The sequence below is a fragment of the Homo sapiens genome, chromosome 10 (assembly GCF_000001405.40).
Source record: "Homo sapiens chromosome 10, GRCh38.p14 Primary Assembly".
NCBI classification, from domain to species: domain Eukaryota; kingdom Metazoa; phylum Chordata; class Mammalia; order Primates; family Hominidae; genus Homo; species Homo sapiens.
This window is the reverse complement of record NC_000010.11, coordinates 7,940,661-7,957,861: the sequence shown is the minus strand read 5'-3', so window position 1 is coordinate 7,957,861 and position 17,201 is coordinate 7,940,661. Positions and strand designations below refer to the sequence as shown.

At 40.7% G+C, this 17,201-nt stretch overlaps 1 protein-coding gene across 2 annotated transcripts in view, besides 1 other annotated feature; it reads right to left on the bottom strand.

The window, feature by feature from the left end:
- The window catches only part of TAF3 (TATA-box binding protein associated factor 3), a 198,127-nt gene that overhangs the window by 58,770 nt on the left and 122,156 nt on the right, over positions 1 to 17,201 (bottom strand). The window lies entirely within an intron of this gene.
- Positions 8,722 to 9,016: a silencer, noted in NCBI's record as "tiled region #6244; K562 Repressive non-DNase unmatched - State 23:Low". NCBI's record gives its function as "represses a minimal TATA promoter and a strong SV40 promoter by Sharpr-MPRA in K562 cells {active_cell/tissue: K562}" and the evidence as "EXISTENCE:reporter gene assay evidence [ECO:0000049][PMID:27701403]".

Here is a 17,201-nt window from a genome sequence, read left to right as displayed (position 1 = left end):
GACATAATAATAATAATAGCTGTGTTCCAACATCGAGAGAGAGAGAGAGAGAGAGAGAGAGAGAGAGCGCGCTAGAGAGAGCGTGAGACAGACAGCATGTGTATATATGAAATATTTCAAAGATTTTTATTTCCAAAGAACTAAGAACTCATTTTCTGTTATTTTAGTGTTCTGAAACGGGAGAAAAGGACTCTTCTGTACATATGTGAGAAACAAATATTGAAAAAAAAATTTAAAAAATTGATTGTTAGTTGTAAGTTTTCACACAAGTTCATCTTCTTGGCGCATTAGTTCCTTGATCAATAAGACCAGTTCTTTAACACCATTTATCTTGAGAGTATTCTGAAAATTAATTACTAAAGGTAAGTATTCAAACTGCTAAATAATAATACCCATCAATAATAGAGATATGCCTTGGAAAGTTAACCTTGTAACCCTTTTGAGAAGATTAAAAAAACAAAAAACAATTCTCCTCCCCGTGATCTCTGTAAAACCAATAGCAGCACACATCCAGAGTTAGTATCTGTGGGTGATGTGAATTCACCTCAGCCGTCTGCCCTAATCTCCCCATCGTCTGCCCTAATCTCCCCATCGCTCCATGAAAGCAATTGAGGGCTGTTGGGGAAGCTTTGAAGGACAGTGGGTATTTAACTAAGGAAAGGTAGTTCTGGATAGGTATTAATGCTCATGTCCCTAAAGGCATAGTAAGGATTATTCCCAAAAGTGATGTCACCTTTTCCGCTTGTGCTAAAGTTTGGTTAAAGTTGATAGTGATATGACTTTTGATTTGCTTTTCCCACGTGTGAGAATGTATTGAAAATTATGTGTTATAATTGATTAAACTCTCATTCATCAAAGAATCCCATAAATTATTATATAACCCCTATAGTTCTAGTAGAAAAAAGACACTAACAACAAAAAAAAATTAAAGACATGAAGAATCACACCTAAAACAGTGTGGTAATACCTATTTTCAAAAAAATCTTAACTAAAATTCATGTCCCCTCTTAACAACCCTATTTTTTCATGTTTTTCACACAGTCACTAAAATGTGAATGCTATACTTCAAATAAGAAATGGCCACAGTAAGAAGGAACTCCTCATTCTGCCAAATGTTTTGCATGTCTGGTATGCTTTTTTCACCAGTCCAAAAAGGGAAATGATGTGAAATCATGAATGACTCAGCACAAATTCATCACCACAGCTAGAGATTCACTTTTAGACAGATATTTAATTGGTAGCTGGGTATCTGATCATAATGTATACAAAAATAGGGAGACAGAGATGCTTTCTAAGATATCTTCTTGTTTAAACAATCAATGGTTCCAGGTCAACATTTGACTGTAAAATTATTTTAAAATTATTATTATTTTTTGAGATGGAGTCTCACTCTGTTGCCCAGGCTGGAGTGCAGTGGCATGATTCCGGTTCACTGCAACCTCCACCTCCCGGGGTCAAGCGATTCTCCTGCCTCAGCCTCCCGAGTAGCTGGGATTATAGGCACGTGCCACTATGTCTGGCTAACTTTTTTGTTTTTAGTAGAGATGAGATTTCACTATGCTGGCAGGCTGGTCTCAAACTCCTGACCTCGTGATCTGCCCACCTCGGCCCCTCAAAGTGCTGGGATTACAGGCGTGAGACACCGCGCCCGGCCTATTTTTTAATTTTTAAATTTGAAATAATTTCAAACGTAGAAAAGTTGTAAGAATACTACAAAGAATTCATGAATACCCTATAACCCGATGCACTAATTAACATATGTATTATATAACTACATCTATTAATATAATTACCTAATTATAGTATAATTTTGGGAAACTTTGAGAATAAGTTGTAGACATCACGATCCTTTACCCTAAAAGCATCAGAGTGTGACTGCAGAACAATTGTCAAATTCCTTTTAATCACATAAAAGCAACAAAATGTATCCATATTAATCCCTATCTTTCAAAAGCTTTACAAATGTTGATGGGAGCAGGACACCACAAACTCCATTTCAATTTTCCTTCATTAATAACACAAACAAATAATCCACACTCCCTACATTCTCCTGAGGAATAATGAGAAAAACATGCTTCTTTTCTAAACTTCTCAGACAAAAACAGAACAAGGCAATAAGGTCTGACACACCAAAAGGATTTTTGGGAGGTTAATTCTAAGCTACTATAAATATTGACTTAGAACAAAATATCTTTTTAACTAGAATAGTAAATGCCTTTAAAGAAACACTATAATCTAAAAAGTTCATAGACATTAGGAAATAAAGGGAAATTGTTTGCACATGGCATAGAAGCTTTTTATCTGACTAACTACACAGACGCATGCAACTTTAAAATTCAGTGGCATGTTCTCCAACTAAGCAGAAAATATGCTTGTATTCTTAAACTTTAAGCAAAGGAACAACAAAATGCTATCTGCATATATTTCATCAAAAATTAAACGTATTTAAAGCTAGACTTCTTATGATTGGTTAAAAGTGTACACACAATCTTGTGTCAGAATCTGTAAATGAAAAATGTATGCAGATGTAGAAATTAATTTCTACAATGATGCACAAACTTTCCTATTAGTCCATACATGTCACTGTTTTTATAATAGATTCCTCTTTTACTAGCAAATGAAAGGATCATTTAAATGAATGCTTAGACAGCACGGGAGAGGTGGGGCAGAGAGGTTGAAAAACAAAAAAGCATACTTTTTTCAAAAAATACCTTTCTATTCGTCTGAATTTAGGTATATTTATTGTAACCAGTTCCTTGAAGTGACTCAATGCCACTAAAATTCATTCATTCACATATGGAGTGCACTCTGAATCTCACTATGGAGAGCTCTGTGTTAACTGGGACTAATTCATTCATTCACCTATGGAGTGCACTCTAAATCTCACTATGGAGAGCTCGTGTTAACTAGAACTAATTCACTCATTCGCCTATGGAGTGCACTCTGAATCTCACTATGGAGAGCTCTGTGTTAACTAGAACTAATTCACTCATTCACCTATGGAGTGCACTCTGAATCTCACTATGGAGAGCTCTGTGTTAACTAGAACTAATTCACTCATTCGCCTATGGAGGGCACTCTGAATCTCACTAGGGAGAGCTCTGTGTTAACTAGGACTAATCCACTCATTCACCTATGGAGTGCACTCTGAATCTCACTAGGGAGAGCTCTGTGTTAACTAGGACTAATCCACTCATTCACATATGGAGTGCACTCTGAATCTCACTATGGAGAGCTCTGTGTTAACTGGGACTAATTCATTCATTCACCTATGGAGTGCACTCTAAATCTCACTATGGAGAGCTCTGTGTTAACTAGAACTAATTCACTCATTCGCCTATGGAGTGCACTCTGAATCTCACTATGGAGAGCTCTGTGTTAACTGGGACTAATTCATTCATTCACCTATGGAGTGCACTCTAAATCTCACTATGGAGAGCTCGTGTTAACTAGAACTAATTCACTCATTTGCCTATGGAGTGCACTCTGAATCTCACTATGGAGAGCTCTGTGTTAACTAGAACTAATTCACTCATTCGCCTATGGAGTGCACTCTGAATCTCACTAGGGAGAGCTCTGTGTTAACTAGGACTAATCCACTCATTCACCTATGGAGTGCACTCTGAATCTCACTAGGAAGAGCTCTGTGTTAACTAGGACTAATCCACTCATTCATATATGGAGTGCACTCTGAATCTCACTATGGAGAGCTCTGTGTTAACTGGGACTAATTCATTCATTCACCTATGGAGTGCACTCTAAATCTCACTATGGAGAGCTCATGTTAACTAGAACTAATTCACTCATTCGCCTATGGAGTGCACTCTGAATCTCACTATGGAGAGCTCTGTGTTAACTAGGACTAATCCACTCATTCACCTGTGGAGTGCACTCTGAATCTCACTAGGGAGAGCTCTGTGTTAACTAGGACTAATCCGCTCATTCACCTATGGAGTGCACTCTGAATCTCACTATGGAGAGCTCTGTGTTAACTAGGACTAATCCACTCATTTGCCTATGGCGTGCACTCTTGAGTCTCACTATGGAGAGCTCTGTGTTAACTAGGACTAATTCATTCATTTGCCTATGATGTGCACTCTGAATCTCACTATGGAAAGTTCTGTGTTAACTAGGACTACAAAGACAAATAAGACATGATTGGCTGTCCTTAATCAAACACATTTTATGGCCATCAGTTCACACGGTAGGCAGGAATCTGCACAAGGTACACACGGAGCCACATCAAGGGATATGAAGGCAGGAATGGAAATGTTGGCTGGGCAGGGAACCTAACTGAAATGACACCTGGGATCGGTTCACAGAGCCAAGTTCAACCCAGCACAGCCCATTTCACCTCCCAAGACCTAAGTTTTCTCATCTGTAAAGTGTGAATACTGACATCTGACCTCCTCCAAGAGATGAAGATCTTTATTATTAGGGCCATCTCTACATGTAGTTGGCCATGTGTGGGATGATCTAAAGGGCAGGACAGAGCTACTCCTGCCCCTAAATATCTCACTGACCAACAAGCAACAGTTCCTGAAACTCTACCACTTGATTTATGTGTTTGGGTAAAGGCAGTATCTTTAAAATGTTGCTGTGAAAATATTTTTAAGACCATGAAACTAACAAATGAACAACTCTACCCTACTTTTTGAAGTGAGAAGACTGGGAAAATGGAACCGAAGTGAAACAACGTGATGGAATGTTGAGGATTAGGTGAGTGTAGAACACGGGGTATTACTACCAGGAAGGTCAGGGTCAGGCCCAGCTGGGAAGCTACTCTGAGGAGAAGAGGCTGGGGCAGTCAGGAAATAATAGGAAAACAGGCACTCGATGCTGGGAAGGAAAAGAAGGGCATGGCGTCAAAAACAATCATAATCCACTTCATCATTATATCTTCTAGTACTAAATGAGGCTAAAAAATAATTCCATTGACATCTCCTTATAAAATATTTTAAAATTGTCCTGTCTATAATGTAACAGAAATTAGACCCTTAAAACACAACTCAACATGTGTAAGTGGGTATGTATTTTTAAAATAAACCTGTTTACTTAAAAAATGAAATTACTAGCAAAGACAAGACAATTAGGCAATGACAATTCATACATTACAACCAATCAATAACACAAGAAATTAATAGTAGAGTGAATATGATGCATTATAAATTCCTAGATACACAGTGACCTGTAAAAAAGTACTATTTCACTAACATTCTGCACAATAAAAAACTAAAATGCTATATAAGCAAGCCAACCTGAAATGACACCTAGTATTATAAATGGCCTAATCTATATGTTAATACTGTTGTATCACATAACTGCAGCAAGACTAAGATAACAATATGACTTTGGGGTTTCTATGGCTACATCCTGGGCTAACGTGTCTGAAAGGGCTGGCTGCTGACACCACACAAGCATTCTGAGTGCTTCTTTTTGGTTATTTATGATATGATTTATGATAACGACAACATCTCCTATTTTCTCTCCTCCTCAGATACAATAAATTGCTATCGTTAATCACTCTTCTTGGTTCAACTATGATTACAATAGCATAATAGGGCCTGGCTATGGTAATATGGTGGATTTTTTTTTTGCAAGAAATAAATACAAGTAGATCTCTTCAGACAATGTCAATATCTCTAATATTTTAATCATCTTCCTTTAAGTCTTTCAGGATAAATTCTGTTACAACTAAGATTCCATATCCAGGATGTAGGCCCTTTGTGCAAATCAAATTTATAATCAAACACCACACATTCACAAATCACTATCATCATGATTTTCCTAGACTTAAAATAGTAAGACTATGCATAGGATACAGTTTATTTTACAGACAATAGTATTGTTCTGTAGGGATGAAACTAATCTCATTGCAATTCCTTTCCCCACCCCAGGAATAAGACAAATTAGGCAAATTAGCCATTTATCTATCAGAAAGTGAAACAATAGAAACAGAATAAAAACCCTACAATCATAGAGACATGTATGATGTGCCTCTGCCAATTATTGGGCTATGTGGTTCCTTCATCCTTCTGAACTTCAGTTTCCTCTTAATGCCAGTTTGGGTTAACAGAAAGTACTACCTCTTTGGCTTTTGAGTAACAGTAAGACAAAGTATGTAAAAAATGAGTTTGTATATAAACGACTTAGTATGAGAAGTACGAGTCAGACTGTAAAAATGAACAGACATTCTTCCCCTCCCTGCATCTATGCCCTTCCACTGGGCTTCTACAGCTGTTCTCATCAAGAGGTGGACATGATTTTGGGTGGCTGTGTGACTTGCTTTGGCCAATGGGCAAATGTGACAGAAGCAGAGGCATGGAAAGCGGCTGCACACTAAGGACTTGCCTTCCTGCTGCTCTTGGGAAACCTGCAACCACTGCCACAGGAATGAGCCCAGGTTAGCCTGCGGGGTGATGAAGTGTGTGGCCCAGAGCCCCAGCCAAAGCACCAGGCATAGGAGCAAAGCCACTGACCACCAGCCAACAGTAAATGTATGGGTGATCCCAGCCTCGTCCAGCAGAAGAGCCGCATGGCTGAGCCAACCCAAAATGCAAACTCATGGAATTGTAAGCTAGTAAACGGTTGCTGTTTTAAGCTGCTAAAGTTTGGGGGTGGCTTGTTACACAACAGCATGTTAGCTATGTATTCATATGTACACATACTGTCACTTGTTATTTGCAGTAGTTATGGTAACACTGAACTAACAAATACTGAACCACTGCTCTTAAGAGAAATACACGGTTAGGTTCCTATAAGTCTCTGGTCACAACATTTTCATCAGCTAATCGATGCATACCCTTGTTTTACATGTGCTTCTGCTTAAAGACACCTTATCTAAGATATTAATGATGCATTAACATTGAACTCCCAGTGCACAGCACTGTAACTCATGCCTAGAAGAGGCTTATGTAACACATGCATTTTCTCTATGAGGCACATCACAGCCTCTGGCACTGGGACCACTAGACAGGACTTCAGCACTATGCTTTGGGGCCATTTTAAACACAAAATCACCAACAAAAGCACAGAATGAGAAAAACATGGCACTACTGAGATGGTGAAAACCACACTTCCTTATAGTGCGAGAGCTGACACCAAAGGCAGAGTGCTGCCTTGCTCGACCTCAGCTGGGAACAGGCAACGCATGCGACTGAATTTTTGCTGCTCTGCATGTCTTCAAATGATTGTGAGAAACAGAATCTGTGCATAATGAGGATAACTGTATATAACTACATGGATATACACTCATCAACATCCAGTACTTTTACGGACTACTGACTTAAAAGAAAAGATTTTGCTTGAAAGTGATTCCATCCTCAGAAGCATTTCATGAAAAGAATAAATATGCTTCATGAACTAAAACACTATGACTGTATCTGGTAAGACGTTTCTCTAAATCCAAATTAGGACATGTTTGAGTTTAATTCAAAGAACTAGCCACGTGAGGAACTTTCTGCTCGAGACACACAATTATTCTCCGAACTTCTGGAAGGTGCCAAGGTCTTTCCCTCCACAGGGTCTTCATGCCCACATATTCTGCTCCCCTCCCATGGGAACACTCTTCCCTGGGTCGTTCTATATTTCTCTATCTCTCTCCCTTTAAGTCTCAAGAGTAATACTGTCTTTTCAAAGACATATTCTCTGGTCATTCTACATCCCCAAAATAAGGAGTCGCAATTTATAACTGTTTGACTGTTCATGCATTTCTTGTCTGTTTCCCCAACAAAGCTTCACTGATACGGGAACCACATCTGCCTTCTGCTGCTAAACCACCATTACAGGCTAATAATAAGTACTTTCTCCAGCAGTGCTATTATTAGAAAAATGAGAGAAACGATTTCACCATGTATCATTGACTCTAATTTATTAAAATGTGAAAACAAAAATGTGCATCTCTGAAATTGGGCCATCTTTTCTAACCAGTAGTATCTTCCTATCTTTATTGGACAGGCAGTGGTGATGCGCAGTCACTGCCTGCCGATGGGTGAACTTGACTGTTACTCCTGGTAGAATGACTGGCCACTGCAACCCTTCTATGTTTCAGTCAACAAACCATTTAAGAAATTTGAAGTATTTGGTCTATGCAGTTAAAAAAATGTTTTATAGAAGAAAGAATTGCTTCACAGTCTAATTGGCAATGTTTTGGTTTTGTTTGTTTGTTTTTACCTTAGTGGTACATAAATGAATGGTGTGTCTTACAACTGATATCTCAGGATCAACGGAATTTTACAGTTGTTTCAAGTTACTATTAAATTCTTACTGTGTTCCTTCTATGTAAAATGAAGACATTGTTCTAGTTATTAAAGCAACATGAAAGTGGACATTCTAAAATCCAAGTGTCAAAGAAGGGAGGACTTACATAATGCGATGCAAAGGGAAAGGCTAGGACAGGTGGGGGCCTGCTTGGCTGTTGCCCTAAGTGCTCCATTCTCTCCCTTCTTGTGTCCACTTATATATAAGACACCCAGGCATCCATGAGTAGGCCTGGTACACAATCCTGTCGAAGAGGCTGACTTGCCTGCCACATGGCCTCTGTCCTGGGGACAGTGCTAAGCAGCCCACTCTTTATTTCCGGCTGTGCTTTATTATTAAGGCAGCATTTCGTTACAGTGGAAACAGCAAAGGGCAAGTGGACTCTGATTTACAGAACCAGCCCCTTCCTCTTTCTCTGTGATGGTGAGCACAAGGTTCTTCATCTGTGCACGCACAGACACTCACACAATAATGCTGAGCCCACTTACTTCACAGGATCATCAAGAGCAGTCGATAAAAAAGTAATGGGAAATCATCCTGACACTGTTGACCCGAGAGCGGCTGTCAGCAGCGGCGGCAGCAGCCGGGCACAGCTCTTGCTCCCCACCCGCCCAGCACCTCTGCGCGTCAGTCCCTCTGAGGAAGCTGTTCCTACACTTGCTTTTTTCCCTCTTTTCCCCAACTATGCATGTATAATCCTGGAGATTTTAACAAAACCATTTAATAAAGAAAGCTCAGTATAATGACACAATGACTGTTAGGAAGCAAGATTCGAAAGAAAAACAAATTTAGGGTGACTCAAGTTTGAACTGGTAAGATAAACATTAGTTCAGTACCCAGTGATAAATTTGATAGGGAAAAAGATCAGTATTTAAGCTTTTGGTTGTTATGTATCTATCCCTGTCTCATTCCAACAACTCCAAACATCTTCCTATTTAGGAGGCAGCCTGTAAAATCTGCTGCTAGTCTCTCAAAATTTGGTGAGTCAAAACACCCAACACACTAGGAGACCATCCATATGCAAAAGCCACAAAACAAGCAATTCAGGATTTAAAGATTATTATGAGAAAAATGCTATGAAATTACAATCAACTCTTTCCTGGCCTGGATGAGGAACCAGGGAGAGCAGCAGAACAGTTCATCCATCTATGAGTAATAATAGAAAGTTATCACATCCATCATATACAGAATAAACATTCTTAAAATCAGACGAAGGCTGGGCGCACTGGTTCATGCCTGTAATCCCAACACTTTAAGAGGCTGAGGCAGGAGGACTGCTTGAAGCTGGGAGTTCAAGACCAGCCTGGGCAACAAGAAAGATCTTGTCTCTAAAAAAAAAAAAAAGAAAGAAAGAAAAGAAAAGAAAAAAAAAATTAGTAGGGCCCAGTGGTGCCCACCTGTGGACCCAGCTACTCGGGAGGCTGGGGCCAGAGGATTGCTTGAACCTAAGAGTTCGAGGTCGCAGTGAACTATGTTCGTACCACTGCGTTCCAGCCGGGGCAACAGAGTGAGACCCTGTCTCCAAAAAAAAAAAAAATCAGAGTCATAAAGTACTATATTTAACAATAAAACCACTTGAGACAATTTAAACTTTCTTTAATAAAAGGTATGTCAGGAAGTTATAGTGCGTCAACATAGAATTGTGAACGTCATTTCCTGTCTGTACATGGGTGATTTCAGTTAGACTGTTGGCTAAGAAAATGCTAAATATGACCGCTGCTTCTTCACATAAAGCCATGTGATGGATGAGGCTGGAATTGACTCTCCAACTCCGAATCCCAAATCAGATCATTTCCCTGCTCAAAAGCCTCCAGTGCTTCCTGTCACCACTGGAATAAAGCCCCAGCTCCTTGCCATGGCCTCTGAGGTCTTGGAAGGTCTGGCCCCATCCTCCTTCTTAGCTGCCTTCATCAAGCCATGCTGGCATCTTCGATGCTTCTCAAACTCACCAAGCTTCTCCCCAACGCTCTCGCAGCAGCCCCAGTGCTGTTCCTCCAGGTCGGCTCACGGCTGCTTCTCTCGTATTATTTGGCTCTCTAATGTCACCCCTCAGTGAAGCCGTCTCTGATCACTGCACATTGCAATCAACTCGCCTCCCAGTAGCTTTCTTACCTGGCCTCATTGCCACTGCACTCCCTTACCTAACACCACAGAATGTTTGCTTAGCTATTTTTTGTCTCCCTCACCAAAATGCAATAAGCTTCATGCTGGAAGGAACTACACCTTTTAGACTATTCCCAGAGTCTAAACAGCGCCTAACCCAGAGAAGGCCCTCACAGCTGCTGATGGAAAGCTCTTAACCGCACTATCCGGCCTGCGGTGGGGGCTGGAGGGGCCGTGCATGCAGGAAAGGTGACCTGCAGATTGCACAGCAGAGCAGAGAACCAAGGGCAGGATTCTAGGGCTGCCGACATTTCAATAACAGCAGAAGAGGGGCCGGAGAAGGAGATGGGACAGCCAATGAGTTGGAGGAAAATCAGAAAAGATTAAAACAACAACAATGAAGAGAAAGTATAAGCAAGTATAAGAAAGAAAAGTTGTGGCCAGGCGAGGTGGCTCATGCCTGTAATGCCAGCACTTTGGGAGGCTGAGGTGAGAGGATCTCTTAAGGCCAGGAGTTCCAGACCAGCCTGGGCAGTGTAGCGAGAATCCGCCTCCAAAAACAAACAAATAATTATTTTTTTAAAAAAAGAAAAGTTTTAACGAGTAGGGTAAGTATTCCATTGTGTCCAATATTAGAAAAGCATCAAATATACAAAAAAAGTTGTTATAATCATTGTGATACATGCTTTGAAATAAACAGGATAAAGGAATGGAAAATAACAACTGGGAAGGTGGTAGTGATGTAGAGTGCCACTTTCCTTCTTTTTTTTTCGTTTGAGACCAGGGTCTTACTCTGTCACCCAGGATGGAGTGCAGTGGCACAATCATGGCTCACTGCAGCCTCCACCTCCTGGGTCCAAGTGATCCTCCCACCTCAGCATTCCAAGTAGCTGGGACCAAGGACATGTGCTACTACGCCTGGATAATTTTTGTATTTTCATACAGACGAGGTTTGGCCACGTCGCCCAGGCTGGTCTCAAACTTCTGAGCTCAAATAATCTGCCTGCCTCGGCCTCCCAATGTGCTGGGATTACAGGCATGAGCCATGGTGCCTGGCCCACCACCTTCTTAAATAGAATGAAGCAACTATGTGAATACTGATTAATGAAACTGAGATGGGAATAACCAAAACAGCCAGTCAGAGACAAGCCAGGGAAAGTACTCCAGGTGCAGGGACAGCATGTGGACAGCCATACTGCGTAACGAGTTTTGTGTCTGAGGCATGGGAAGGAGCAGGTGAAGGCAAGAGGAAAGGAGGTGGGTTGGGTAGGTCAAGAGAGCTTCATGGATCATGGGAAAGAGTGTGAATTTTATTTGAAGGGTATAGGAAGTCACCGGTAGTTTTAAAATAGTTTGATCTAGTTTCGAGAAAGATGACTCTAGCAGCTGTGTAGAGGATGCAGTGACGTTATGGATGACCCGAGAGGGTGGCTTCAGCCCCACAGAGGAGGCCAAGGCAGGAGGACAGTCAGGGTCAGGTGTGCATAACAAGGTCAAGGCAATCTCATCCATCCATTCATTCAACAAATATTTGTTAAGATCTGTGTCCGCCTGGCAATGCGGAGGTTAACAAACAAAAGACAAGGTTTCTCTATTCATAGATTTTACTAGCAGGGCAGATAGGCAACAACAAATACAAAAGGAAAATTCACAGTAAGTGCTAGGGAGACAGTAAAATGGGATAATGTGTGTGGAGAGAAAAAGGGCGACTTTAGACAGGACAGTCACTGTCTAAAGATGGAGAAGAGATGTTTCAGCTGAGAGCTGATTCAGGAGGAAGACCAGCTGTGTGATGATGTCATGAACAAGCATTTCAGGGGCAGAGGAGCAAGGGCACACCCTTGCTGCTGGGACAGCCTTCTCAGGATGTAGCCGGGTGGGTAGTTACTGTAGGGGTGGGAGGAGGTAGGGGGCTGCAGTGCGAGGGCAGGCCTGGCCTCCCTGCGGCATCTAGAGAGTGTCTGCGGCCAAAGGGAATCCACTTAACTAGAAGAAGGGAAGATACCAAGGAAGGCAGGTAGAGAAAGCTGAGGAAAGGTCTTAAAATGCTCACTATGCAGGTAAACAAGATAAATTAGGTAAGTCAAACAAACAAAAGACCTGGAAAATAACAGTTTTTTTAATCCACTAATGGGAAAAAATGCCACAGTAATAAGTAAATAAGATGACTGGTCAGATTTAAAACAACCACACCCAATAGGAAATCAGTTATTCTGTGAAATGGCACACAAACAAAAACTCACTAGGCAAACAGGATTAGCATCCCTCTGTTCACATTTCATAAGGTGAGACAAACTGACCTAACTCCAAAAACTGCAATCCAGTCCTCTAATGCCACGGGTGCCAGAGGCCAGTGCACTTCAGACTGTGCATCGGGAAAGGCTGCCCATCTCTGGGACAAAGCCTTATCCTATTTTGTGCAGTTTACTACCAAAAAAAATGAAAATAGAGTAAAAAATTACAACTACAGTTATGTAGTCCGATGCTATGTTTTCATGCTGCCCATATTTCTAGGTAGAGACTAATATATATACCTTTAACCAAATCTTTATTCTAATGTAAGATTATCCTAGTGCTCTAAATGACCTTGACAAAATTCTGGAAAAAAATATCTCAAGACCTGGGGCTCTAAAGCTATTTTAGAATTAACTCTGAATAATTGTCCCAAAATATGAGTTTCTTGATTAATTGCTTAAGATAAGGTCTCCCTTTCCTTGTGGCCTCCAGTGGCTCCCTCTAGTTCCCATAATCACTTTTGTCTAATTCTTCTATACCCTGGAAGGCTAAGAGAAAAATCACAGATATACCAATTCCATTACTTGAGGATTAGCTAAGAGATAACCCTTTGTATTCCATTACTGACCATTATTTGAGTAATTATTCAATAACTATGGTACATTTGAAAGATGCACTAATTGTTTTCTGAGGCTCACTCCTGCTCTATCTCAGACAAAGTTAGACCTGCTATGTCCTTTAACGTTGCAAATCTACATTTGGGTTACATGAAAAAAATGCGTAGTAACTTTTACTGCGTTTCATTTTTTATTTCTTTCTCTTAATAAAAAGTAAAAGATAAAACAAGAATAATTAGTCTGTTGATGGTCTTACTGACTAACTAGAAAATTAGGACTCTATTTTTGACCAGATTTATGTCTTACAAGAGTCAAATTTCTGCATAATTTAGACAGAAAATTGGCAGGGGATGGCTGTTCCATCTAATTTCAGCAAAATTAGCATTCAGCCACCTGAATTTTTGGCAGTATTCCAGTATGTTTATCCAACGCAGTAAGTAGACAGAAAATAAAATTGACAATCATGCCTAAACAAGGTAGTTTTTCATCTACCTTTTCCCTCCCCCCCACAACACACACACACACACACACACACACACACACACACACACACAAGCATGAACATTTTAAAAAATCAGTGAATAATTTCAAAAGTACATTTCATGAATGGATTCATGGTTTTGCATTCTTCCTCTTACGCATATCAATTGCAGAAAGAACAAGAAAACCCACCCCCTTTTCAAAGTATAAAGAACCCTATTATAATGAGCTGACTCATCTTGGTTTACTAGGGGTAATGATTTTTTAGAAATTGCTCATCCTCCAAATAAAGCAAATCAGTTATATCAGTTCCTGACTATCTGTGGTAATAGATGGAAATGATAGTGACAGTAATTCCAAATTCATTAGTATTTTGCTTTGGAATACATCCTAATAAAAAGCTGAAAACACACACAACTAATTTTTGCTTACCTTTCTCTCCTTGTAGAATTATATTTGGTTGGTACAGAAGTGAAAAAGCCAAGAGGCACAAATGATGCATTTAATGTGTACTGAGCACCTACCATCTGTATGCCTTGAGCTCAGAGGAAATGACAAGTATTTATTCTTCAAGCCCATCTTAATTTGTGTCTAGCAGTGTGCAAGTTTGGTGGCTCTCAGGCACTCCTGGCAGCTAGAACAGAACTGGCAAGGACAATGAAGCATGGTGTGAGGTTTGGAAGCCATGGTTTTAAGGCTGGCAAAAGAGGGGCTCCCACTCAGCAAGTGTATCTTGTACACCTACTATCAAGGTGTATCAAGGGTGCTAAGAAGGCAAATACAAAAAACACCCTCCAAATGTTTACCCAGGAAAAACTTACGAACTAGGAAACAAACGTATCATCTAAAATGTCAGAGTTTGCAATGCTAAGGAGCAAGCAGAACGTGATGCGTAGGAGCCAGAATCAGAAGACAGAAGCCAAGAAACCAAGCAAGGTGAGGCCAACATCGAGCGCCTGTTTCATTCAAGGCAACGGCAAAGGCAGCGCTGGAGGCCGAGTGGAGTTCTCAGAGTCTCACGGAGCTACAGGGAACCGGAACCACAGGATTGGACTCCTTTGATCTGAGCAGGATCACAACCGCTGCTAAGTAAGGACAGACTTTCGGGAGTAAACAAACACAGACACAGAAAGAAACTGGACTGGACGGCAACTGTAGCAACTCAGGAGAGATGACTGTGGTTGAATGGGACAGTCAGGGCTGTGACGAAGGTCAAATTCCTGTTAAGAGCAGAAGACCTGCACAGACAGCCTACAGCTGAAATCCAACCTGCAAATGTGATTTTTGTGTATGTGGGCTGCACAATGTTCTAAACATTTTAAATTCACTTCTAAGAGTTAAGAGCCCAAAAACGACAAAAAAAAATTTTTTTAACTAAATTTCCTGCCTTTACTAAAACATCACAAGATCTAGAACTCCGTGCCCACACGCCTCGGCTGCCCACTTGGGATGGGGCCCCTGGATTTCACTGTCACCACATTCCCCAGCGCTTCTTGGGATCTGTGTTTGCAACCCCTAACAAGAGAGCTGGAGATGGACCTAGCCCAGGATTTTCTCAGTCAGCAATGTCCTAGGACTCGCTTGGATTCCCTCAAGTTTTCTCCAGGAAAACCCAGCGGATTTTGTTTCAGAAAGCAAAGCTTATAATTTTATGGGTAAATCAGCAAGACTGTGTTACACTGCTGTTACTCACATAAAGCAACGTCATATAAACATACAAGTACATTTTGAAATGTTCTGGCTGAAAAAAATGTATTATAATTTTCAGCTGAAAAAAACCTGAACTACCAGAGATAAGTTCTATAAATAAGCCAATGAAATTTAATTAAAGCAGATGGCTTAAAATATGTTTGATAAAATATTTACCCTAAGTATCTTTTCAGATAAGTAATATTTATATACTCATTCTATATGGGAAGCTCGACTGAAATCGACAAAACGCAATTTATGCATCGTCACGGGTGATTGCTAGACTGACTCTCCTTTTCCCTGGCTCTCACAGAGGGATGTCTTCCAAATCAGAATTATAAGAACATAACTAATAGAACATTACAGAACTTAATAAAAATGTCAACTTGTCACCTCTTGAGATATAACTGAAGTGGAGGCACATGATACAACCCCACTTGTGAAGCAAAAAAACTGACCTCAAAACAAATATTCCTGACTCCTTGAAGCTGTAGTAAATTTGACACTTTGGGAGAAAATGATGAGAAGTAATTGAATATATAATTATTAAAAACAAAAAGAGTTCCAAAGTAAAATTTTACTAACTTTAAGAAACTAGGACCCCAGAGCCAGATCCAACACAAGGATGTCTCTCCCCTCTGTTGCTGACACACATGCTCCAGGCTCTCTAAGACCAAGCACCCACGAGTGTAAAAACCCAGCTACCACAACCCTGCCCTTTTCCTCAACACTGCCACCCAGTTCAAGTAAATAAGTTCTTGTATTTACTGACCCCATGAGAACTTACTATTTTCCCGACCTAACAGACACAGTCAGAAGGAAAGGATTTCACAGCCTCGAAGGCATCGGCGCAGCAAGGATGTCCAGGATGATGAGGATACAGTGAGGCAGTGGCGAAGCAGAGGGCAGTGGCTCTTCCTCCTTTGTCAGATTGTGCCAAAGAGCACATTTACCTTGATTACTACACGGCCCACTCAACTCTGAAACTCTTCACTCTCTGACCTGCCCCAGCCATTCACTGGAAACACTTTCCCCATGGTCCCCTGTAGCATCCTCATGTGCAGTTACAAATAATCCCCACCCTGCTGACCTGTATCTAGCAACAACTGCTGATCACTTTTCCTCTTTCTTGAAATTTTATTTTGTTATTCATTTGAAGTTTAATTCAACAAATATTTACTGTATGCCTATTCGATGCCAAACAGTAAAGAAATACTAGAGAGGAAAGACATTCTACCTGTCAGCAAATTTGATCTAGCAGGCTAAACGTGGTCACTCAGCTTGCTGGATTAATCCTCCTGAAAGACAGCTCTCCCAGTGGAAATCTCTCAATGATTCCCATGCCTTACCTTCAGCTTCATATTTGTGGCTCTCTATGTTTCCAACCTAACTTTTACTCTTATCTTCCTTGACTTTTCTTCCTTCCAGCAGCACTGCACCACTTCAACAGGTCATGAGCTTTCCACTTCTGTATTTTATATTGTTTTCTTTTTCTTTTCTTCTTTTTTTTTTTCTTTTTTGAGACAGGGTCTTGCTCTGTCTTCCAGGCTGGAGTGCAGTGGTGTGATCATAGCTCACTGCAGCCTCAAACTCCTGGGTCCAAGTGATCCTCTTACCTCAGTCTCCCAAGTAGCTGGAACAGCCATGCACCATCATACCCAGCTAATTTTTCTGTTTTTAATTTTTTGCAGAGACAGGGTCTTGCTCTGTTGCTCAGGCTGGTCTCAAACTCCTGGGCTCAAATGATCCTCCCATCTCAGCCTCCCAAAGTGCTAGGATTACTGGCATAAGCCACCATGCCTGGCCACTATGTTATTT